This window comes from Homo sapiens, chromosome 20 (genome assembly GCF_000001405.40).
Source record: "Homo sapiens chromosome 20, GRCh38.p14 Primary Assembly".
In the NCBI taxonomy this organism is placed as follows: Eukaryota; Metazoa; Chordata; class Mammalia; order Primates; family Hominidae; genus Homo; species Homo sapiens.
Genome location: NC_000020.11, coordinates 61,772,166 through 61,797,972, shown reverse-complemented (window position 1 = coordinate 61,797,972; position 25,807 = coordinate 61,772,166). Strand labels below are relative to the sequence as shown.

Sequence of the window (25,807 nt, the reverse complement as noted above, 5' to 3'; positions counted from 1 at the left end):
GCAAGCACTGTCCCCCAGCACACAGGGCCCCGTGAGGCCCGCAGCTTGCCCTAACCTGCGGTCCGTGTCCTGCAGCCATGCCCTACCTGAGAAGCTGGAAAAGATGCCGATCTCTCCGCCTGGGCTTCTCCGCCAGAACCTCAGTGGGGAGGCCTGGCCGGACATTTGTCTTTTTTGTTTTTTGTAGAGACGGGGTCTCACTTTGTCAGCCAGGCTGGAGTGCAGTGTCACTATCACAGCTCACTGCAGCCTTGAATTCCTGTGCTCAAGCAATCCTGCTGCCTCAGCCTCCCGAGGAGCTGGGACTACAGGTGTGCCCCACCACGCCTGGCAATTTTTTTTTATTGTTTTGTAGAGATGGGATCTTGCTATCTTGCCTAGGCTGGTCTCGAACTTCTGGGCTCAAGTGATCCACCTGCCTCCCAAAGCACTGGCATTGCAACATGAGCCACTGCCAGAGGCCGGATGTTTTTATCAAGCCCACCAGGTGGTGTGGTTTTGTTTTGTTTTGATACAACCCCAGCTTCATGTAAGCCAGGACTGCTTGATTTTGGGCTGTGGGGAAGTGCAGCTCAGCTGCCAGATCCAACGCTTACCTCCCCGCTGTGCAGTTTCAGCCTCTTTCCTGCTCGTCCCCACCCTGGGCAGTGGATGGCGTGAGCCTTCCCCACCCTGGGGAATGGATGGTGTGAGCCCTTCCCCATCCTGGGCAGTGGCTGGTGTGAACCCTTCCCCACCCTGCGGAATGGATGGTGTGAACCCTTCCCCACCTTGGGCAGTGGATGGTGTGAGCCCTTTGACTTGGCAACGGCATTATTGTTCTTCCAATGCTCGGGGAGAGGAGGGACTTGTGTCCACCAGGAGCTGGCCAGTGTTGGGGGGGGGGGGGCTCTTCCTGTCCCAGCCTTCAGAGAGCAGCTCTCACCCCCTCTTACCCGGCCACCCAGGAAAGTGGCTGGCACTGCCTCCCCAGTGGGGAGCTGATGCCACAGCTGGCGCTGTATGGCGCTCCCAAGCAAGCCGGCATGGGCACGCGAGCCTCACTGTCAGGAAGGCAGCGTGAAAGTTAAATAATTTCTCGATGGAGTGGGAGATTTCCCACTTCAGCAGAAGCCCTGGAAACGGTTTCTGCTCGGTAGCTCCATTTTCTCCCTCCCACCCCTCGGTTCTCACATACTCCAGTTTCTAGCATTTCCCAGCAGGATGGGGGTGCTGGGAGCCACAGGGTCAAAGCTCCCCTTGGGCCCTGACACCTCTGGGCGGCTTCCACACCATGGAGCCTCACCTCAGCCTTCATGTGAGACCCTGGCTCTGTAATCAAAGTGACTTTCTCAGGGCTAACCACACCCCAGGGGTGGCCAAGCAGAGAAATAATCAAATCCTTTGGTCCTTCCTTTCCCAAGCCAGAGCAATGGTCGGGGGCCACTACAGGGCCCGGGAGGATGGCAAGCAGGACCTCATCTATTCCTACAGGATGCCCCTTTCCAGGAAATGGGAGGCAGGGCAGTGGGCCCAGTGAGGCTGTAGGACGCGGGGCTGGGGGTAGTGACGTCTGTGTCAGAAGGTGATAACCCAAGCTGAGTCCTCCTGGGCAGCCCTGGCCCGTGCTGGGCTGTAAATAGAGTGTGGGGTGGAGGGGCCAGAGAGCGGCTTTGAGCGGTTGTCATGTGCCCTGGATGCAGAAGGGATGGGTCAGGGTCCTGCTCTGGAGATTCCTGGCTGTGTGGCCTCAGGGGAGTCACTCAGCCTCTCTGAACCTCAGTAAAACGATAGGAGTAAAATGATAACACTCCTCGCCTCACAGGCCAGGGCAGTGCAGGGAAGGACTGTAAACAGCCAGTGGCCCCACAGGGTGAGGAGGCAGCGGTCCGGGAGCCTCCCTGGATGGTGGTCTGGGCTTGAGGGAGGGGGAGGGGCCAGCCCTGCCCTTGCCTTCCACCAGGGTCCAGCTTGCTGTGTGGGGAGTGGGAGGGGAAGCATGGATTAAGGTAAGCACAGATCTGACCATGTCACTCAGTGCCTGAAAGCTCAGCAAAGGTTCTCGTACTCTCAGGACAAAGCCCGCCCTTCTTAGCACAGCTCTGAGAATCTTCATCCTCCATCCACTCATTCATTCATTCATTCACTCATTCATTCATTCACTCATGCAACATTGCTTCTGTCCCAGGCAGCCTTCCAGGGTGGCTGTGTGAATGAAACTCCAGCCCAGTGGCTCTTATGGTCCTGGGGCCCAGCCTCCCTCCTTCCTGAGTCCACACTCCTGGCCCCGCCTCTGGTATGTTCCAGACAGGCAAAGCAAGCTGCACATCCCAGTGGCCTACTGGCCTCCCTGCCCTTCTCTCTGCCTTGATGCCCTCCTGCTTTAAGGGGATGATGCCTTTTTGTTCTGTTTTCTGCTCACGCCTCTCTTCCCCTGTGAAGCCTGCCTCAGTCTCCCCAAGCACAACGTATGTGTCGTCCTGGGGGGCTCCCATTGTCACCCTGAGTGTCTCATTTACGCCACCATGATGTGACTTCCTGCTCACCTGTCATTCCTCTCACCTTCCTGGGGGCTCCTTAAAGGCAGAGGCTGCATCTCATTCACAGTAATCATTCCATTCTGTCCCTGGTACACAGGAGAGCAACTGGCTGATGGGGCTCAGGATACTATGGTGAAGAAAGGGTCAGTACAAAGTGATTGCTGGGAAGGTGATGGCTTTTATGAGGACTAAACTTAGGATTTTAGAGATGATCTGTATGAAACTCACATGGTAGCTGGTAGCAATGATAAATACTAGCCCTTGTCCTCCTCTTAATTATTATGATCACCAACCCCATCATCCTTACCACTACCATCATTTCCATCATCACCATTATCACCACCATCATCACCATCATTACCATCAACATCATCACCCTCACCATTATAACCATCATCATCCTCATCATAAACATCATCACCACCACTCCCACCTTTATCACCATCATCCCAGTGGAGGAACACTCTGTTCTACTGATATTTAAGAAACCAAGAAAACTCTGACAAACATTAGGACAGAGGGAACCACTTCAGGAGTGGCTCAGGAATTAGGCCAGTTTGACGTTCTTCCTATAAGGCGCATAGTTACATTTAAGAACATCCTAAAATGCCCACAGTGCCTGGAGCAATGAGCCCTGTGGCAGGTCTGAGAGCAGGCAGGCAGGACCCACTTGCGGGACTGTGTGATCATGCACTTTGCAGTCCTGCTGGCCTGGGTTAGAGCTTCTTTTTGGTCCTAGGTGCATGGGACCAGCCATAGGTGGTTTGGGGGAGAGTCATGGAGCCTGTGTCCAGTCCAAGGATGTGCTATTGTAGCAGAAGCTGTGGGTGCCCACCCATGTCTGCCTGATGTTATCATTTCAGGGCACATTTGCCAACTTCCAACCAGCACCTGTGACTCTTTGCCAGTGGCCTTTCTCTTCCCACTGAGCCACCTTTGCTACCCACTTGACAGGCTGAAAATGCTGAGGAATTAATGTCCTTGGGAACAGCCTCCAACCAAGGACCAAGGGACTTGGTGTATGAGCACCCCAGGACCTCAACACAGTGGCGGAAGTGGGGGAACGACGGGTTCCCAGGGCTGGCTTAGTGGAATGTCCAGCTGCCCCCAGGCGGGTGTCTTGATAACACATCATTTACTGGCCTGCCTCCCCTTCATTGGTTCACTTCCCTGCCCCACCCTGTGTCTCCTCCACCTCTCAAAGAAGTACTCACATCAGAGTTCTCCCAGGGGCCCAGGCTTAAACACCTCCTGAGCTGCCAGGGTGAGAGGTATTCACTTATTTCAGGCTCATTCTTTTTTTTTTTTTTTGAGATAGAGTCTCACTCTGTTGCCCAAGCTGGAGTGCAGTGGCGCCATCTTGGCTCACTGCAAGCTCCATCTCCCAGGTTCACGCCATTCTCCTGCCTCAGCCTCCCGAGTAGCTGGGACTACAGGTGCCCGCCACCACGCCCAGCTAATTTTTTTTTTTGTATTTTTAGTAGAGACGAGGTTTCACCGTGTTAGTCAGGATGCTCTCTATCTCCTGACTTCGTGATCTACCCGCCTTGGCCTCCCAAAGTGCTGGGATTACAGGAGTGAGCCACCGTACCTGGCCTCTTTTTTTTTTTTTTTTTAAATGCAGTCTCACTCTGTCGCCCAAGCTGGAGTGCAGTGGCGTGATCTCGGCTCACTGCAACCTCCACCTCCCGGGTTCAAGCAATTCTCTGCCTCAGCCTCCCAAGTAGCTGGGATTACAGGTGTCTGCCACCATGCCCAGCTAATTTTTGTATTTTTAGTAGAGATGGGGTTTCACCATCTTGGCCAGGCTGGTCTTGAACTCCTGACCTCGTGATCCACCTGCCTCGGCCTCCCAAAGTGCTGGGATTACAGGCGTGAGCCACTGCGCCCGGCCTCAGCCTCATTCTTGCTGGGATCCTGAAAATGACTGTCCAGGGAGCACCCTGACCTCGGGGGCCGCTTTATGGGTCCCAGAGCGATGTTTCTCAATGTCTCTTATTATCCCCCTAGCCCCCAGAGCCTTTTTAAAATTTTTCTTTCCCAGTTGCCTCTTCCAGCCATGAAATCTGTTTATGTGCCTTTGGAGGGCCACCATCCATTATAATATCTAAGTTGTTTTTTTTGTCGCCAAGAACTAATGTTTGCTCTGCTTGGGAGTGACATTGCTCCCATTAAGACTGCACCATCTGGGCCAGGCACAGTGGCTCACGCTTGTAATCCCAGCACTTTGGGAGGCCAAGGTGGCCAGATCACTTGAGGCCAGGAGTTCAGGACCAGCCTGGCCAACATGGTGATAACCGGTCTCTACTAAAAAATACAAAAAATTAGTTGGGCGTAGTGGCAGGCGCTTGTAATCCCAGTTACTCTGGAGGCTGAGGCAGGAGAATCACTGGAACCCAGGAGGCAGAGGTTGCAGTAAGCCAAGACTGCACTACTGCACTCCAGCCTGGGCAACAGAGTGAAACTCTGTCTCAAAAACAAAAACAAAAACAAAAAAAACACATAGGCCAGGCACGGTGGCTCATGCCTATAATCCCAGCACTTTGGGAGGCCGAGGCGGGTGGATCACAAGGTCGGGAGTTCAAGATTAGCCTGACCAATATGGTGAAACCTCGTCTCTACCAAAAATAAAAAAATTAGCCGGGTGTGGTGATGCACACCTGTAATCCCAGCTACTCGGAAGGTTGAGGCAGGAGAATCACTTGAACCTGGGAGGTGGAGGTTGCAGTGAGCTGAGATCATGCCACAACACTCCAGCCCGGGCCATCAGAGCAAGACCCCATCTCAAAAAAAAATACACACACACACACACACAGCATCATCTAAAGATATTCTGATTTATTTTGATTTACATTTTTTGGGGTGGACTAAGAGACAATAGAATAAAGATTGTGGGTGAGGTGTCAATGGCCTTATTTGATTTCCTGCTTTCCTGCAGCATCCTGGAGAGCTGAACACAGAGCCCGGGAATCAGCCCAGCAGACTTAACTCCCGCGCACCCAGCAGCTGCATCTTGGAAGAGGCCCTTGGGCTGGGGCAGGAAGCCTCTTTAATAACAAGAGGTGAGGAGGGAGTGGGAAGAGACAGATGTGCAGGAGGGGGGACAGATGTGCACAGTATCCCCATGGCACCCCACACGTGGGCACCTCCTGAGCAGTGGGGATGCTGGGTGCTGTCACCTCAACAGCAGGGTGGGCTGAAAACCCAGGAGCCAGCCTCGATGGCTCCCTTTCCTCCACCTGCCTCTCCCTAAGTCCTCTGGGTCCTTCCCTGCAGGCCATCTGGGCCCCCGCTTTCCCCTCCTCACCTTCACGCCTCTACTGTCCTAGCCCAGGCCCCCACATCTCTCCTCAGGGCAACTCTCTCCTCCCTGGGGCTCTGGGGCAGCTCTCGCCTTAACCTTCCAGCCCCACCAGGCAGCCAAAGGCATCCAGGGGATGATAGACGGACAATCAGATGGCTCCTTGCAGGCTTTTTCCTGCATTGGAGCTACACCCAACCTCCTACTGGCTGGGGGCCCTGGGACCTGCTCCTGCCCTCCCCCAGGCCCCTCCCTCCCTTTCCCTCACTCATATTTTCACCGCACAGACCTTTCCATTCCTTGGGTGTGCCCAGCTCATTCCTACCCCAGGGCCTTTGCACTTGCGGGTCTCTGCCTGACCTGTGCACAGCCGGCTCCTTGCCATGCAGGCCCAGTTCAGCATCTGGCTCCTCGGAGAGGCCTTGGCTGGCACGTCCCATCTACAGCCTTGCTCCCCATCCCAGCCTGCCCCTCACTGCCCATCCCATCCCTGTGCTCCACTCTCCCTGTGGTTCCTTCCGTGTTCTAACAGTTTCTTCTCCTCCCATCTGTTCTTGCCTTTACCGCCTGTCTCCACCAGCAATGTATAGTGCTTCAGGACAGGAACCGTGACTGAGTGGCCCACTGCGGACCTCAACACCAGCCACAGAGCTGATCGCAATACACGTCTCATCCATGACCGGGTGAATCACTGTTTTCATCCGGCCTAAGATGGACTTTCCTAGAAAAACCTAACATTTCCTCTAAGGAGAAATCTGGGTGAACACACTTCTTTCTCTAAGTCCACATTTTTGTTGCTGATGATTTAGGAAAACAATCAAGGAGACTGCTCTGGTCCTAAAATCTTCCTCAGGGCTAGGCTTCAGCATCAAGTCAGAAAGTTTATGTAGTGTTCATAGGTAAGCCAAATGGAATGGCTTTCCCCAAACACCTGGAAGAATTGTCCACCACTGTCAAAAACTTATTACCTTTATCCTCGACAGGGAGTTTTCAAATGTTGAAACAGTTTTAAGGACAGCAACTCATGACGCAATTTTTTTGCCTGTTCGGTTTTTCGTTTACTTGAAAGGCCTTAAGCGTTTTGAAACAGTAGCTGGAGCTGGGTGCTGTGGTTATGCCAGAGTTCTGGCTTAGGGGCCTGCTGCTGTCAGGAGCAATGAGATAGTCTGAGGGTGAGAGCACTGAGGATGGATGGGTGGATGGATGAATGGATGAATGGAGAGATGAACGAATGGGTGTAGAAATCAATGGATGGATGGTAGGTGGGTGGAAGGATGGATATACGGATGGATGAATGGATAGAGAGATGAATGGATGGATGGTGGGTGGGTGGGTGGATGGATGGATGGGTGGATGAATGAATGGATGGAGAGAGAGATGAATGGATAGATGGATAGATAAATGGATGGAGAGATGAAAGGATGAGTGGAGAGATGAATGGATGGAGAGACAAATGGATGGATGGAGAGATGAATGGATGGATGGTGGGTGGGTGAATGGATGGGTGAATGGATGGAGAGATGAATGGAGAAATGAATGGGTGGATGGTGGGTGGATGGATGAATGAATGGTTAGACAGATAAATAGATGGATGGTGGGTAGGTAGATGGATGGAAGGATGGATGAATGGATAGGTAGAAAGATGAATGGATGGATGGAGAGATGAATGGAAGGATGGTGGGTGGGTGGATGGATGGGTGGATGGATGAATGGATGGATGGAGAGATGAATGGATAGATGGGTAGATGAGGGGATGGGTAGAGAGACGAATGATGAGTGGAGAGATGAATGGATGGATGAAGAGACAAATGGATGAATGGAGAGATGAAAGGATGAATGGATGGATAGTGGGTGGATGGATGTGTGGATGCATGAATGAATGGATAGAGAGATGAATGGATGAATGGAGAGATGAATGGATGGATGGTAGGTGGGTGGATGGATGGGTGGATGGTTGAGTGGATGGATGGATGAATGGATGACGGATGGGTAGATGGGTGGGTGTGTGGATGGGTGGACAGAGGATGGATGGATGAATGGATGGGTAGGTAGAAGTGTGGATACATGGATGAACAGATGGATGGGTGTATGGTTGGAAGGGTGGATGGACACTAACCTAATGTAATAGACTGTGGATATACTGTTCACCCCGTCATACTTTATTGACCAATTTCAGACTGAACACAATAAATTATGTCAACCCTGCCCAAATCTACACCTTGAATTTGCAACATGGATTAGCTTCAGATTCCATTATTTTTCATAGAAAACCTAAGTCTTCACCTAGCTACTTATTTATAGAGACAAAGTCTTCAGGCCTGGGCTGTCCCCAATTGATCGCATAGGACAACCATACTTCCTTTCCCTTCTCCACCAGTTCTACCTCCCAGGGGCAATGGTGAGTGGGAAACGCTGTGCTTGCAGCCCCTGCCTAACTCTGGGCCTGCATGTCGGTTTGCTGGGCTGAGGCGCTGGCATGCCCCGGGCAAGGCAGGCTCATGCACGCAGCGACATGAGGAACGATTTTCTGCTGAAAACACGGAGCACATCAACAATTTCCTCTCCTCCCTGATGTGCCTTATGTGTGTAGAAAATTCCTGAAACCACTAGATCAGATAAGATCCACTGGTTTTGTCCTCCAGGGAGAGGCCGCTTCAGGCAGGCAGGGTGTGACTGCTGGCCCCTCCTATCCCGTGGGTGCCAGCCCAGGCACCGCCCCCCTCCCCTTTTCTGACATGCACCTTGGCTGATTGCTTAACTTTGCTTTTAAGAAACAGACACCAAGGCTCCATGGCTTTTCTTGTTTTAATAAGCCTACATTTTGGGAAAATGAAATCAGCTTCTCAACTTCAATAGGCATTACAACTCAGAAGCCCAAAAGCCGAAATCAAACATAACTCCATCGAAAACCACTCTGACAGGGCCCCACACAGCTCAGGTGCAGATGCATCCGTAGGCCATCTCGGGCCTCTACGGAGAAAGCCAGTGCCATCAAGAGAGCTTCGAGGACTTTTCCCCGGGTTGGTACCAGGGAGGTCCCTGAGCCCTGGTGCCTGACCAACCCACACCTGTGTCAGACGAGACTTTCTGCCCGAGCAAAACAAAGCCCCACACAACCCAGGCCAGCTTGATGCTAGGGCCCCGGGGACAAAGTCTCTTTCTGGGGCATGGTTTTAGAGAGTCATTTTGAAGACAGAAGCCTGACTGTTTCAGCACCACTAGGGAAGTGGAAACTGAAGCAGCATTTTCTGCTGTCTTCTATAGCTAATGGACAGGTTGATTTCCAAGATGCAATTCCCCTCCCACGCATCTACTTCTCATTGGCTTTGCTTTTGGGCCTCGTCTCCCATGCCCTTGTTTCTCTGAGCTGAAGTCAGGTCTTTGAGCAGAGAGCTTTGGGGAGGTGGCTTTCCCTCCTTAGGTCTCTAATATTCTGAGAAAGGAGTCTTCAGAATATTAGAAAAGTCTGCTGTTAGAAATTAACAGGAAACATCAAATATCGGAAACATGGTCAGGCCTCCTGCAGGACTGCTGTCAGCAGGAAAACACTGCCGGGCTGGGAGCCCAGGAGGGCTGATGGCACACAGGCTGTCTCCTCTGTCAGCTCCAGGGAACACCTGCTGTCAGCACTTGGGGGCCTCCTGACCCCACCTCTGGGTGCCGGAAGGGAGCTGGGAGCCAGGATCCTGGAAGATGAGTTTCCGTTTCCCCAGGGCTCCTCTGCCATCACTTCCCTTCCAAGCCAGGAGAAATCCTTTAACCAGAACCTACGCTGTGCCTTATCCCCACCCTGTCTGCACCCCCAGCCCTCCCCCAGCCCCTCAGGGCTGTTTCTTTTTCTGGCTGCCACACTCCAGCTCCTCACATACACACACAAAGTGAAGCAGAAGCTCCGCGACCCCATGCTCATGAGTAGAATCAAAGAGAGCCTCTCATTCCTCAAGGGTCACAGATGTCCAGTCTGTGATAAGATTGGGGTTTCCAGCTGTTTTACTGGGCGGGACATTAAAACAACACCCCTGGCCTTCTGGTAGCTCAGTGGGAGGGTTGAGAAGCTGCCTCCTGCTACTGCCTTTACTCCTGCTCTGCCTGGTCCCTCACGGCAGTCAGAGGGGTCTTGGTAAATCAATTTATGCCACACCACATCACTCTTTGGGTTTCAGAATCAACCACCAAGTCCCTCCCATGGCCACACGCCCCTGAGTGACCTGGCCTTGACACTCTCTCAGTTCTTCTCTCTCACCCTCTCCCTGGCCATTTCTATTCAGCCCCTCTGACATCCTGGCTCTTCCTCTAAGACTCTGAGCATTTGCACTTACTGTTCCCTCTGCCTGGAGCACTCATCCCCTCGATATCCCCATGATTCTCTCTGCCACTGCATTCAGTCCTCTCAGAAGTGACTTTCTTGGCCACCTTATCTGAAATCAAACTTCAATGGCATCCCACATTCTCTGGTTCCCAGACTGTAACTAAGAGTTACTTATCCCTGTCTTTGATCATAAACTCCATGAGGGCTGGACTGTTCCATCTGTTCCCTGTTGTAGCCTCTGTACCCACAACAGCACACCTGGGGGTTGATATGGTTTCGCTGTGGCCCCACCCAAATATCATCTTGAATTGTAGTTCCCATAATCCCTCTGTGTTGTGGGAGGGACCTGGTGGAAGATAATTGAATCATGGGCGCAGTTACCTCCATGTTGCGCTCGTGATAGTGAATTCTCATGAGAGCTGATGGTTTTATAAGGGGCTTTCCTCTGCTTCGATCTGCACTTCTCCTTTCTGCCATCATGTGAAGAAGGGCATATTTGCTTCCCCTTCCACCATGATTATAAGTTTCCTGAGGCCTCCCCAGACCTGCTGAACTGTGAGTCAATTAAACCTCTTTCCTTTATAAATTACCCAGTCTTGGGTATGTCTTTATTAGCAGCGTGAGAACCAACAGATACAGGGTGCTTGACATGGAAAGGCTTAGTGAATGCATGAATGGATGGATGGAGGGATAGATGGATGGATGGATGGACGGACAGACGGATGGATGGATGGATGGATGGATGATGGATGGATGGATAATGGCCACCACAGCCTGCTGTCATCATCATTTCATGCACAGACAGTTTCACCTTCTCAAGTATGAAGGCCACAACTGAAGAATGAAGGACATCTCTTTCCAAGCAAGGGCTGTTGCCAGCTTGCCCCAACATACATACTCTCCTTCACCCTTAAACTTGTCCTCAGAACAGCTGCACTCTACAGTGGCCCTGGGAGCCCACGCATTAGCACCTAGACAATGTCTGGTCAGCAGTCCTGGAGCTGGCCTGGCAGACACAAGGCTCCCTGGCCATTGCCAAACTCTAAGAGTCCATTTGTGGAAGGTGCCTGAGCTCTCATCCTAAACACCTGTTCACAGAGGGTGCTCCAGCAATTCAGTGACAAAATTAAATCCCTGAATATTCAATTAATGATGAAAATCTAAAATATTAATATATTCGAATTGAATATTCTCCAATAAATTATCTGAGCATTTGCAGCAATTTGATTTTACTTTCATTTCTTAAGGAACTTTCAGCTGCGTAAATATAGCCATTAAAGCATTTCAAGAAAGGGAACATTTTCTGCTTGGATGAGAGGGCGGTAAACACAAAGGGCCTGCCTGTTCCTTTCACACGAGCAATTAAACCACACAACCCAGGGCAGTAGAGTCCAAAATGATTGCTTTCTTCACATCCCTCTGGCTTCAGCGGGGACAATGTGAATCCCCGTGGGTCTCAGCGCTGTGTCTGGCTGCCGGGCGACTCGCAGACTGCAGCAGGGCGATCGTGTTCATCTTGGGATTGCGTCTTCAGAACCACACTCAAGACGGTCATGGGGGTGGTGCACATGTGTAGCCGCCCCTCCTGCCTGGGGCCAGGAAGGAGGTGGGCCCTGAAGTGTAGGTGATGGGCCAATGGAAGTGCCACGCTGTTTTGCTGCGGAAGGAGACGCTGTTTGAACGGGGGGTCCAACTTTCTCAAGGGTCCTTGTTTCCCCGGAGGGCTGAGCCGAAGACCCCCAAAGCCTCTCGTTCACGTGTTCTTAGAGCAGTTCCTCCCATCCTGGACGTGGATTCTGTGTCTGGTGAACCAGAGGGGAGATTTCCACAGTCCACTTACAGGGGAGAAAACCCAGACTCAAGCTGGCTCCTGGGATACCTCCGGCCACTGGTTTCTTCCCAGAGACTTTCAGTCTGAAGGTTCCTTTGGAGGAAAGAAACCTACCTCATTCTCCACTCGCTCGCACGCTCCCTGGCTCTGAAGGCTTAAAAATTCACTAGCACAGCTAGAGCTGGAGCATCAGGGGCCTCTGCCCTCTAAGAAAGTGGCTAAGTGGCTAAGCTGGCCCCAAATCTCTCTCCAGGTGGCTCCTTGAAAGGGAGGTGTCCTGAACTTTAGAGGGCCCTGTCCACCTGGGCAAGGTCTCTACACACCTGGGTAGGAGCCCTGCACACCTGGGTGGGGGCTCTACACACCTGGGTGGGGGCTCTGCAAACCTGGGTGGGGGCCCTGTCCACCTGGGTGAGGGCTCTGCGCACCTGGGTGAGGGCCCTATCCAGCTGGGTGAGGGCTCTGTGCACCTGGTGGGGTGTGCAGTGTCCACCAGACGATCCTACCTGACAGGGTTAGTCCAGGGGTCACAAACCACAGCCCACAGGCCAAATCCAGCTCCTGCCTCTAGCAGGTCACCATCCACTCCTCCAGCAGCGATTCACTGAGGGATTCTCTGGGCCAGCCTGCATTCTTAGTGGCTGGGACACAGACAGGGGCAAGATCAGAGCCGCCCCACCCTCAGGGAGCCCACAGCCCAGCAGGAGGAAGCGGATGGTAGGCAAAACTGAGCTGCCACAGGTGTGACCCTCCCCATGAGGAAATGCCACGTGGTGTGAGGAGATGGTGAAGCATGGCCAGGGAGTGGGCCAGGGCTGCGTGTGAATAGGGTGGGGGTCCTATCGTGGCAGAGAAGCCATCGGAGGAGAGACCTGATGAACTGAGGTGGTGAGCCCTAGAGCCACATGCTGGGCAGAGCCAGGGAGGAGTGTCCTGACCCCGCCTTTGGGGAGCAGGAGGAAGCCCCCAGTGCCCAAGCGTCGGCCACAGCTTCGACCTCGAGTGAGCTTGGGGAGTGGCCAGCGTGGCTCAGGTGTAGAAGGCCCCTCTGCTCCAGGGGTAGGGCAGTGAGCTGGAGGCCAGGAAGGAGGAGGCCAGGATCCAGCCTGCACTTGCCCATAGCCAGGAAGGGGATGGGACGTGGGAAACTCGCGCCATCCAGAGCTGCAAAGGGACTGCATGCTTAATGTCTGATGAGGCCCCGGGGGCACAGGACATCTGAGGGCCTGGAGAACTGTTCCGAGGAACTGGGCTTACATTCTCCTGGGGGCACAGGATATCGGAGGGCCTTGAGAACTGTCCCGAGGAACTGGGATTACATTTCTCTTGGGGGCACAGGACATCTGAGGGCCTCGAGAACTGTCCCGAGGAACTGGGCTTACATTCTCCTGGGGGCACAGGATATCGGAGGGCCTGGAGAACTGTCCCGAGGAACTGGGATTACATTTCTCTTGGGGGCACAAGACACCTGAGGGCCTCGAGAACTGTCCCGAGGAACTGGGCTTACATTCTCCTGGGGGCACAGGATATCGGAGGGCCTTGAGAACTGTCCCGAGGAACTGGGATTACATTTCTCTTGGGGGCACAGGACATCTGAGGGCCTCGAGAACTGTCCCGAGGAACTGGGATTACATTCTCCTGGGGGCACAGGATATCGGAGGGCCTTGAGAACTGTCCCGAGGAACTGGGATTACATTTCTCTTGGGGGCACAAGACACCTGAGGGCCTCGAGAACTGTCCCAAGGAACTGGGCTTACATTCTCCTGGGGGCACAAGACACCTGAGGGCCTCGAGAACTGTCCCGAGGAACTGGGCTTACATTCTCCTGGGGGCACAGGATATCGGAGGGCCTTGAGAACTGTCCCAAGGAACTGGGATTACATTTCTCTTGGGGGCACAGGACATCTGAGGGCCTTGAGAACTGTCCCGAGGAACTGGGATTACATTTCTCTTGGGGGCACAAGACACCTGAGGGCCTCGAGAACTGTCCCAAGGAACTGGGCTTACATTCTCCTGGGGGCACAAGACACCTGAGGGCCTCGAGAACTGTCCCGAGGAACTGGGCTTACATTCTCCTGGGGGCACAGGATATCGGAGGGCCTTGAGAACTGTCCCAAGGAACTGGGATTACATTTCTCTTGGGGGCACAGGACATCTGAGGGCCTTGAGAACTGTCCCGAGGAACTGGGATTACATTTCTCTTGGGGGCACAAGACACCTGAGGGCCTCGAGAACTGTCCCGAGGAACTAGGCTTACATTTCTCCCGGGGGCACAGGACATCTGAGGGCCCGGAGAACTGTCCCAAGGAACTGGGATTACATTTCTCTTGGGGGCACAAGACACCTGAGGGCCTCGAGAACTGTCCCGAGGAACTAGGCTTATATTCTCCTGGGAGCACAGGACATCTGAGGGCCTCGAGAACTGTCCTGAGGAACTGGGCTTACATTTCTCCCAGGGGCACAGGATATCGGAGGGCCTTGAGAACTATCCCAAGGAACTGGGATTACATTTCTTTCGGGGGCACAGGACATCTGAGGGCCTCGAGAACTGTCCCAAGGAACTGGGATTACATTTCTCTCACGTATTGGAGGAAAGGAAGGGAGGGAGACCTTGATGTCACTTTAGCTGTATTTAATGTTTTTATCTAGAAAACATGTACATATTAAGGAAAGGTTGTGGGCAAAAATCATATAGAATGTGCCTTTGGAGAATTTACAGTTTAAACCATCGACCCTAGAAATGTATATTAGTGTGTTCAGATAGAATGTTGGGTAATGAATTTGGAAGAAGCCTTCAGAATCATTGACGCCTTGTATTTGTTTTCATAGATGGGCACATCCAAAACTCACTTATTTGTGCTAATAAACGGGACAATCTGGTGACTAACAGTTTTCATTGACGCATATATAAAGAAATTCTTTTTTTTTGAAACAAGGTCTCACTCTGTTACCCAGACTGGAGTACAGTGGCATGATCTTGGCTCACTGCAACCTCTACCTCCGGGGTTCAAGTGATTCTCATGCCTCAGCCTCCTGAGTAGCTGGGATTATAGGCATGTGCCACCACGGCCGGCTAATTTTTTGTATTTTTAGTAGAGATGGGGTTTCACCATGTTGGTCAGGCTGGTCTTGAACTCCTGGCCTCAAGTGGTACGTCCACCTCGGCCTCCCAAAGTGCTGGGATGACAGGCATGAGCCACTGCACCCAGCCTTAAAGAAATTCATTTTGATTAACTTAACTAATGAAAATACTCATCTCAACTTCATAAGCATCACAGTTTACCTAGAGTTAATATTGGACCACTTAACCAGCAACGTCAGAACCTCAAAACAGCCTTGCTCCATTTACCCCGTCTGTCCTTTGTCCAACTGTTGTCTTACTTAGTTTTTCTCCTACTGTTGTCATATTTATTACATCAACATACATTATAAACTCCCTAATACAATGCTGTACTTTTGCTTTAAATAGTCAGCTTTTTAAAAGAAATTAAAAGAAAAATGATAATCTTTTATATTAGCCCATAAATGTATCTCTTCCTGAGCTCTCCATCCCTTCCTGGAGGTGTGGATTTCCAACTGGTGTCATTTGTTTCTGGCCTGAGGAACATCCTTTATCACTCCCTCTGGATCTAATGGTGATGAATTCCCTCAGTTTGTTTATCAGGAATGTCTTTATTTCACCTTCATTTTTATTTTTATTTTTTGAGGCAGAGTATCACTCTGTCACCCAGGCTGCAGTGCAGTGGCGTGATCTCGGCTCACTGCAACCTCTGTCTCCCAGGTTCGAGCGATTGTCCCACCTCAGCCTCCTGAGTAGCTGGGATTATAGGCATGTGCCACCACACCCAGCTGATTTTTTTGTATTTTTAGTAGAGATGGGGTTTCACCATGTTGGGCAGGCTGGTCTTGAACTCCTGACCTCAGGTGATCTGCCTGCATTGGCCTCCCAAAGTGCTGGGATTACAGGTGTGAACCACCATGCCCGGCTTCACCTTCATTTTTGAAGGATATTTTTTCTGGATATAAAACTCTTGGTTGGTAGCTTCTTTTCAGTAGTTTAAAGAAGTTGTTCTGTTGGCGTGTGCCTGCAGGGATTCTGAGGAGAAGACCCCATTCTGACTGCTGCCCCGGACATATTGCACCTTTTCCTCTACTTTAGAGATGTTTTCTTTATTTTTGCATTTCAGCAGTTTGACTATGATCGGTGAACGGCGTTCTTTGTATTTCTCCTACCTAGGGTTCACTGGGTTTCTTGAATCTGTAAGTTTGTTTCACTACCACATGTGGGAAAGTCTCAATCATTATTTCTTTGAGGATTTTTTTCTGATCATCTCTCCTCTCCTTCTGTTATTGCCATCACACAGATGTTAGGCCACTGGCCACCGCCCCACTGAAGCTCTGTGTGCTTCACTTCTCCTCCTTCTTCAGGCTGGATAATTGTATTGATCCATCTTCAAATGCGCTGACCCTTTCTCCTGCCTCAGCAATCCACTTGTGAACCCATCCAGTGAGTTTTCCGTTAGAGATACTGTACTTTTCAGTTTTATCATTTCTATTTGGTTATATTTTTAGAGTATCAAATTTTTTTTTCTGCTGTGATTCCCCATCTATCCATCTATCCATCTATTCTGACCCTTGAACATACTATAAAGCATTATGTTAAAGGCCTTGCTGCTAGTTCCAATGTCTGGGTGATCTCAGGGTTCCTGGGTTCCTTTCTCTGGGCAGTTTTTTTCTTGATTGTGGATCACATTTTCTCTCTTTTTGACATGTCTAATAATTTTTGTGTGTATACTGATCACTGTGAATGCAACCTTGTAGAGACCCTGGTTCTGTTATCTTTCCCTGAGGGTGTTTATTTTTCATTACAGCAGGGAGTTCACTTGGCTGGAGGCATATCTCAATGTGTTTCCCCTGGAATCTCTGCTTAGTTCTTTCCGTCTGCTGACTGTTGCTTTCACTGGGTCCTTCGGTGCCTCTCTGTGCATGCACATTTCCGGGGCAGCCAAGGATCTGGGCAGAGCTTACATGCGTACTGGGGAGTCCCTATCTGTGGCTATGTATTTTCTAGAATTTATCCCCTCACATTCCAGCTGCTTTGTCAATTCTAAACTCCATCTTACAGCTCCTGTGACCAGCACGTCTGTGGCTTCCTGCCTGAGATCCACTCACCCTTTGAGGCAAGGCCTGGGATGGTGCCCTCAGAGGGAAGCCACCTGCACACACGTCTCACCCAGTGCCATTTTCTCCCTTCGAGCGTGGAGTCCCCAACAGATTCTGTCTACTATCCATTTCTCCCAAGTAACTTCAAAGAGCTTAAACATTTTCCCCTAGAATTTATAGTTATTATTGATAGGAGTGTTAGAATGAAATAAACCACACCACCATTACTAAAAGACCTTCCAATTTATTATTGCCAGGTACTGTATCCCTAACGTAACAATCTTCCTAATGACCATGAAGGGCTGACTAGCAGAGGTAGGCACTAGGGCCGTGTCCGTCATTCTCACTTAATGAGTGTTTAACGACATGTGTGCTCCTCAAGGAGCTTTAGGTTTAGTGGGGGGTGCAGACAATAATTACCGACGAAACAGTGTCAAAAACTCTGCCACAGTAGCAGGCAAAGTGGGTGCCCTGGCCCCTTGGGAAGGCCTCTGATGGGTCCTGAGAAGTAGGGAGTTCTCAGAGCAGGTAGGGAGTAGCCGGGCTGAGGGGAGTGTTGGGTGCACCGGGAAAACCCTCCAGGCTGAGGGGGGAGCTTGTGCACAGGACTGCAGGTGACCAAGGCTACGAGCCAGTCTGGAAGCTACGAGCCAGTCTGGAAGCTACGAGCCACCAGCACAACTGGAGCTTGCTGTGCCAAGGGGTGGCATGAGCTCATGAAACCTGTGGGGCAAGGTGAGCATTCAGGCCATCTCCCAAGGACAGTGGGAACCACACAGCCACATCCGTGCTTTGGAAAGGCCACCCTGCTTCCATGAGACAACGAATGACTGCCACGTGAGTCATTTGTACACACATGGATGCTTTAGAGTATTGGAAAGTGGGTGCTTAGGTGGACTCCGTGCTAATTATACTGCTAAGTTACCCAGCAAACATTCTGTAAAGATAACGTGGGGCTAAAATTCAGCTGGCCCCGCCACACGTGCTCACACATCCAATCAACTTTTATGGGGCCCCTGCCACGGGCCAGAGAGGGGTCTCCGGCACCTTGGCCGTGCATCTCGGGATGCAGACCCAGCTCGGGGCATCACTCATTTGCTGAAGCAGTCCAGAGCCCGTGCAGGGCAGCCATGTGCCCTTTCACCTCCATGCTCCCAAAGACCCAGCCCATCTCTGTTCACATAGAACGGTGTAAGTATTTGTGGCTGGATGTGAAGCAATGGGGTGTATGTGCACAAATGGGAACCGAATTTATCCAGAAGACGTGAAGGAAACGTTGCACTTCAATCCGCTTAAGCTCATTTGAGTTGTTCGGTGTAGGGGGCTGACTTGAGCCATCCTTTGTGAGCCATCTGTGGCTGCGCACCTGTGATTGTGCTTCTCTGGAAATGGCTCCTGTGTGTCTCCTCCGAGCGACCTAAGCACCTCGCAGGCTCCGCGACTGTGGAGCGACCTCCCTCCAGAGCCTTGTCTTCAGAGCTCTTTTCCTAGCTTGTCCTCTGGCAGGGGGGCCCGAGGGTTTGCATGACTTCTTGTCTTCTAAAATATCAACTGCCAAAATGAAAGGATTCGCACCCAGGAGCACCACGTTCCCCCTCATCACCTTCAGCTGATTCGCTGATTCCTGCAGTTGCCCTGGACAGCCTCTCAAGGGAACATATTGTGCATTGGTATTAGACTCAGCCAAGCAATAGATGCTCTTCTTAAAAGTTTCATTTTATCCTCATTCTGAATCTCGCCAGGAGTCAAACCTAACGTGTATGCTAGCCAAGCAAGTGGCGTTTTAAAACCCTTTAAGAATGTGCCTGTGTAGGTACCAGCCCTACAAGGGCCGAGGGACCAGGTTGTGAACTTCAGGCAGAATGTGGATTGCTTGGTGGTTCCTGAAGGCCACAGGAGAGCTCTATATCCTCTCTCCCCTGAAGCCCCAGTGCCCGCATGGTGCTTGGCACCATAGCAACTGCCCAAACTGTCCAGTCCAGAGCCAGAATTCTGGACCAGGGAGGGCGTCCTGCTAACCTTTTAAATGCTGCTCCCTCCTGCCATTTTCCCCAGTTCCCCTGGGGACATAAAGAAAAGTCCCTATCCAAGTTCCTGGAAAATCAGTTCGGTAACTGTGAGCGGCTTCCTCCCTCCTCTGCTTGAGAAGAAGGGACAGCCTGGGGTTCTGAGTGTTCCCTCCGCGGTGTGGGTACACCTCCTCACTCACCACTCACTTTAGACTGCGGTCTGATTCCAGTGGCAGAACCACCAGGCGTGGCTCCCTGCTTTGCCACAGATACCCCTGGCTCCACAGCCCCGCCAATTAGAGCCACCCCTTTGCTTTTCAGGGCTTTCCTCTCTACAAGTAGGTTACCTATTTCCCTCTGCGTGGTGCCGTTAGTGCTTAGGAAGAGACGTGATATTCCTTCCAAGGAAAAAGCCTGTAATTAACAGACTTTTTTTGGGGAAGAGTATTCTGCCTCCTCCTCTCCCGCTCGTTTTTTCGTTTAACATATTTTATCAGAATGAAATGCCTTAATGAGCGCAGAACTGCAGCTGATCCCAGCTGAACCTCAAAGCGCTCTGTGCTCAGCTTGCCGCCCCGCATCAGGCTGCATTCACCACCGTCTCTGTGATTGGGGCTTCTTCCAGGAGCCGTCTCCCCTACAACACTGCCAGGAAGCTCATCAGCTTCCTATAGATGGAAATGGGGACAGGAAAGCACCCCACAAACCACTGCCTGTGCTAGATAAGAATTCAATGGAAGATAGAGGGGAGGGTGGAGGGAGGGAGGTGGCAAACATGAACGTGTAGGAGTGTGTGTGTGAAGCAGAGTGGTATGTGCACATGTGTGCATGTGTGTATAGTGTGCACGTGTGTGTGCATGTGGATGTGTGTATAGTATGCACGTGTGTGCATGTGTGTATAGTATGCACGTGTATGCACATGTGGATGTGTGTATTGCATGCACGTGTGTGCATGTGTGTATAGTATGCACGTGCGTGCGCATGTGGATGTGTTTTTGTATGCAAGTGCGTGCGCATGTGGATGTGTGTTTTTGTATGCACGTGTGTGCGCATGTGGATGTGTGTTTTTGTATGCACGTGTGTGCGCATGTGGGTGTGTGTTTTTGTATGCACGTGTGCACGCATGTGGGTGTGTGTTTTTGTATGCACGTGTGTGCGCGTATGGGTGTGTGTCTTTGTATGCACGTGTGTGCGTGTGTAGACGTGTGTTTTTGTATGCACGTGTGTGCGCATGTGGATGTGTGTGCACATGCACTGAGTTCTTACATAATGACTTGGAGTCCATTTGGAAAAGGCAAATCTACAGAAGCCACAATGGAAATTCCATTTTCCGTTCACTAAAGGTCCATCTTTCCTGGCATTAAGCTCGGTTTGGATGCCCACTCCGCCTTCCTTTGGATGGAAGCTGAAGGGGATGCCCCTGTGTGAGCCACAGCGATACTTGCAGGGACTCTGAGAGCCAGGACAGGCAGTGCTAACGTTTCTGCCAAATTCCAACTGCTGGGCCATTTTGCAGGGTTAGCTGATGGGTGCCCAGCACAACAGTCACCACTGAGATCACGTCTATCACTCACTCACTCACTCATTCATTCCCTCAACAAATAGAGTGCCCACTGCATGCCAAGGGCTGTTTACAACACTAGGGGTACAGCCAAGATCCTTGTCTTCAGGAAGCCTCCTCTTAGAGAAGAAGTAAGTAGGTGAATAAAGACAGAAAATACAGCCAGTTCACACCAAGCACTATGGCGAACTGAAGCAGGGCAGAGGGTAAAGAATGATCTGGTTGGCGAATTACATCTGAACTGCTCACCCAGGGCTCCAGTGACTAGGGACTCCTTGGGACAGTGGGTTCATCAGGGAGGAAAGGACACAGGCTGATCTCATCTTTAGAAACCTGCTTCGACAGAGACCAGCTGTTCACCAACCATATTTCCCCCTCCTTCATGACACGGAGTTGGACTCGTTCCCCATGTCCCTTACAATTAGACGTGGTCATGTGACTGGGCTTTGGCCAGTGGCATGTAGGCACGATTGACGTATGCCACTTGTAAGCCTCGCCAGTCCCGAGACGCTCATCCTGGGTGGCTGAATGGCTGGAGCACAGGCCACCCTCGCCCTGCCCACCAACCTTCACAGTGAGCAAGAAATCGACTTAGGTTGGGTTCAGTTTCTGAAATGCTGCAGTGCAGCTCGTCAGCCCTAACACGCACCCACCTCACTGCCTCCTTCCGCTCACGGCCTGTTCTGCAGTGACGTTCTGGGCATGGAGGTGACCCTGCCTGCAGGGGCTGCTGGACGAGTCAGGGGATATGAGGAGCAGATGACAAAGTGGTTCCAAACCATAGCAAAGCCACAGACCCCAGAACAGGAGAAGCTGCCACTTCCTGGGTCGGAGATGCTGGGGGTGGTTTCCTGGGAGCACGGAATTTGCAGCTTTTCTCATTCTGACACCCAAAGCCAAATTCACAATTCCTCCCTGCACATTTCTAGTTTAGAAAGGTCAGCAGCAGACAGTCCTCAGGAGGCTGCACCTGCAGGGCCTGGAGAGCTCCCGGTGCCGGCTGCTCTCTCAGCCACACTTTCCAAGCTCGTGTTAATCAGAAGGGGCATATTTCCCTGCTGCAAATTGGAAAGCCATGTTCCCCATCAGGGCATTCAGATGTGGCGTAAGGTGGGCTCTCATGATGATGTCTTCCGGAGAAACGTTCTCATCAACAGGACAACTGGGCCCATCCTTACCCGAGCCCTCTGCTGGTCTGGGAGGATTTGGTCCTTTCATGGGGCCTGTCCCAGCCCACACTTCCTCAGCCACTGATGCTGCAGGAGGTCTTTCTCTCCACTGTCCATCAGGAGATGGTGTGTGGGGCCACACACAGCTTGGGGACCCTCCTGGGACAGGGGCTGTGCCCATGTGACCTCGCTCTTTCATGTTCCCTTTTACAAGCCTATCTGTGGAGCAGAGCTGAGGAAGAAATTCCCACCTTTCAGTCCTAGATCATCAGGCTGAGAAACTCCAAGAGCCAGGACAGCAGAATATCCCAGTTGTGCTAAGATAACAGAGATAACAGTCAGATGCCGCTGGTACCCACTCTGTGGTGTGCAAGCAGATGAGGGCCCTCAAATTCACTGCTCACTCACTCCACAAATAATGTGCCTACCCTGTGCCTGTGAGGGTGGCTTGGGCAGCCCTTTCTTGAGTTTCGGAAAAGTGTCTGATTGGCAGTTGTCAAATCATGGCCCATGGGCTAACCCAGCCCACTCCCTGTTTTTGTAAATAAAGTTTTAGTGGAACACGGCCAACCTGTTAGTTGACACATTGCCTGAGACTGCTTTCACACCACAGCGACAGAAGCTGTATGGTCACAATGCCTAGAATATTTACCACCTGGCCCTTCACAGAAAAGGTTTGCTGACCCCAGAGTAAGATCGATGACTGTCTACCAGGGGCAATGTGGGGGTGGCAGAAGCACAAGGCATTAAATAAGGTGGAAGAGCATGATGGAAGCCCGCTCCCTGTCTCGGTGACCTTCAGTCCTGATGACCTTCAAAGAGGAATCTCTGGTTGGTCCTCATGCCTCCAGCACACCCTTCAGCCCCTGCCCCACTGGCCTGGGTAACAAATCAGGGGCAGCCTTTGTTCTCTCACCTTATGCTTTTCTCTACAGTCAGCTTTTAGCCTGACAAACTATCCCAGTGATCAAACTGTGGTTTGGTATACAATCTCCTTTGGGGATAAACAGTGTGGCAATTCCTCAAAGTCCTAGAGGCAGAACTCCCATTTGATCCATAATCCCATTGCTAAGTGTACACCCAAAGGAACAGAAGTCATTCTCTTATAAAGACACATGCACGTGTATGGTCATTGCAGCGCTATTCACAACAGCAAAGACATGGAATCAACCCAAATGCCCATCAATGACAGACTGGATAAAGCAAATGTGGTACAAATACACCATGGAATACTATGCAGCCATAAAAAGGAACGAGATCATGTCCTTTGCAGGGACATGGATGGAGGTGGAAGCCATCATCCTTAGCAAACTAAAGTGGGAACAGAAAACCAAACACCACATGTTCTCACTTATAAGTGGGAGCTGAATGATGAGAACACATGGACACAGGGAGGGGAACAACCCACACTGGGGCCTGTGGGAGGGGTGGGGCAGAAGGAGAGCATCAGGAAGAATAGCTAATGGATGCTGGGCTTAATACCTAGGTGATGGGTTGACAGGGGCAGCAAACCACCATGGCACACGTTTACCTAGGTAACAAACCTGCACATCCTATACATGTACCCCTGAACTTACAATAAAAGTTGGAAAAAAAATGAATCACTTTGAGACGAATTTTAAGTCAATGACAACACAAGCAATGGCCGGATGCAAGAAATCCCGGCCCCAAGGATGGTGAGGTGGGCGCAGCATGGGGGCCACGGCACTGCCATTGGCATCGTCTCTAGCATCCGTGGTGGGCGGGAGGTTGCCCAGTGGGCCCAGGAGATGTGGGCCTGGGAAGCTCGCCCAGGATGGGGTTCCAACCCCTGGTGGCTTCCTTCAAGCCCTGAACTGCATTTCACAGGAAAATCTCCAAACCTGCCTGGCCCTCAAGGGGCATGGGTGGCCAAGGAAAGCTGAGCCCCTGACAGGGAAGAATGCAGCAGAGGCTGGGTGCTGAGGTGGGAGGGCCGGCTCTGTGCAGAGAAGGCAGGTGATACATTTGCAACCAAGTCACCTTGGCTGGGGTGTGGAGGCACACTGCATTCACTCATGCCAGAGTTTCTGCTATAAATAACCGGTCATTTTGGCTGCTCCCTGGTGGGGTCCCCTGGTGGCCGAGGTTAGGGATACAAAAAATTGGGGGGACCCTGCCTGGTGGCTGCTCTCTTCCTCCCATCTCTGCATTCCAAACGCACAGCCCAGCCTTCTGCATTGAAAGGAATGAGAAACAAAACACACTAAACAGCACAAAGAATGAGAATGACCCCTTAAGCACACTCTGGGGACCCTCATTTCCAAAGGGTGGGGTGAGGCTTTTCCACAACGGTTGGGAATTATTTAATGGAATTCTCGCCATCCTTTTATCAAATTGTTGCTCAGATTGGGCTGCAATTTTCTTCAAAGGGAAGAAGAAATTGCTCGTTGATGGCCTTGATAATAGAAACACAAATTTGTAAAATAAATTATTTCTGCGGTAAAAGCAATCTCGGGTGGCCTTGGGAGCTCGGGGACCAAGAACTTGCAGACAGACCGCGGCACGGCGCACGCTGGCCTCGGCGCAGGGATCGTCATGGCACCACCCCATCATCCGGGATCTTAGTCATCCATGGAAAGAAATGTGATCAGACCAAAGAAAGGGGTCAGAGGTCAAAGGCCACGACCCACGCCCCTGCCCACTGCTTCCACACACACAGCAGCCACTTGAAAGTAACCAAGAGAGAAATCACCCCTAACTCACAAAGGCCCATCCACCGCGGAGGACGCAGCTTCCCCGCCTGAATTTTTCATCGCGCTGTGTAAGGCTTATCTCATTACAGAAAGGGTGAAATCGCGACCTTCTCAGACACCAAACGCGGAACCCGCCCCTGGCTTTGGGATGTCGGGAGAAGAGCCTACTGCTAACGCCGAGACCCCCGTGCCCGCGGGAGGGGTCTGCACTCACCCTCACGAGCTGCTGCGGGAAGGGCCCGCGCGAGTTCTCGGGCACGTTGATGGGCGGGATGACCCAGTCCCGTTTGCGCCGCCTCAGCCCGTTGGCGTTCTGGTGCTGGGGCCACGGCAGCAGGGTGTCCTTCGGAGGCGGAGAGGGGTCCAGAGCCACGACCTTCTTTCCTTTCTGCGGCTTTATTTGGAAAGGGGAGAGAAGAGGCAGAGAAGTCCAGTTAGGTTTTGCACAGAGGAAAATGGCATCTGCTAAGATGATCTGTACTGCCCGAGACTGAGAGGGAAGGCGGGTAACGCTGGGACAAGGAGCTAAGCGGGAAGGGCGGGATAACGCTGGGAAAGGAACTATTAGGGAAAAAAAAAAATCAAGTGAGACCCCCATCAATATGATGAGACCGATTACAAAATTAAATGCGGGAAAAAGAAACCATAAACAAAGAAGAAAATATAGTGGACAATGTCACCAATAGTGTAGACAGGGCTTTTTAAGCTCACCCCAAACAATGCAAGAGATCACAAAAGAAAAGACTAATACGTTTTCCCACAAAACTCCTGTTTATGAAAACAGACCCAAAAGGCAATTGACACATTTGGAAAATATGATTTACAACAATTTGACACAAGGTTAATAGTCACCATATAAAGCACTCTTAGAAATAAAAAAATCAAATGGAATGTTGTTTCCAAACAAGAAAAGGACATGAATAGATAATTCACAGCAAAACAAATATAAATGATCAATAAACTTATGAAAAATATCCACATCTCCCAGTAATCAAATAATGCATATCTAAGTAATATATCCTTTTTACCTGTCAGATTGACAAGGCTGAGCGAAATAAATCTGCAACACTGGGGGTGCGCAGTGAGTCAGTGGGTGGAGGCTGATGGGAGTCAGTGGGCGGAGGCTGACGGCTGAGGGTGTGGGATTTGGCCTTGGACCCCACCTGTGTGTATGTACAAAAGCTCATGTGACGTGGGGCAAAGTGCCTTCATCTCTCACAATCCTGGGTTC

General features: G+C 51.4%; 1 protein-coding gene across 5 annotated transcripts in view; it reads right to left on the bottom strand.

Moving 5' to 3' along the window:
• The window catches only part of CDH4 (cadherin 4), a 688,357-nt gene that overhangs the window by 142,645 nt on the left and 519,905 nt on the right, over positions 1–25,807 (bottom strand). For all 5 annotated transcript variants that reach the window (NM_001794.5, XM_047439812.1, XM_047439813.1 and 2 more), the window contains one exon: positions 24,791–24,970. In NM_001794.5, the coding sequence (NP_001785.2) occupies positions 24,791–24,970 (180 nt within the window). The remainder of the gene's footprint in view (positions 1–24,790; positions 24,971–25,807) is intronic.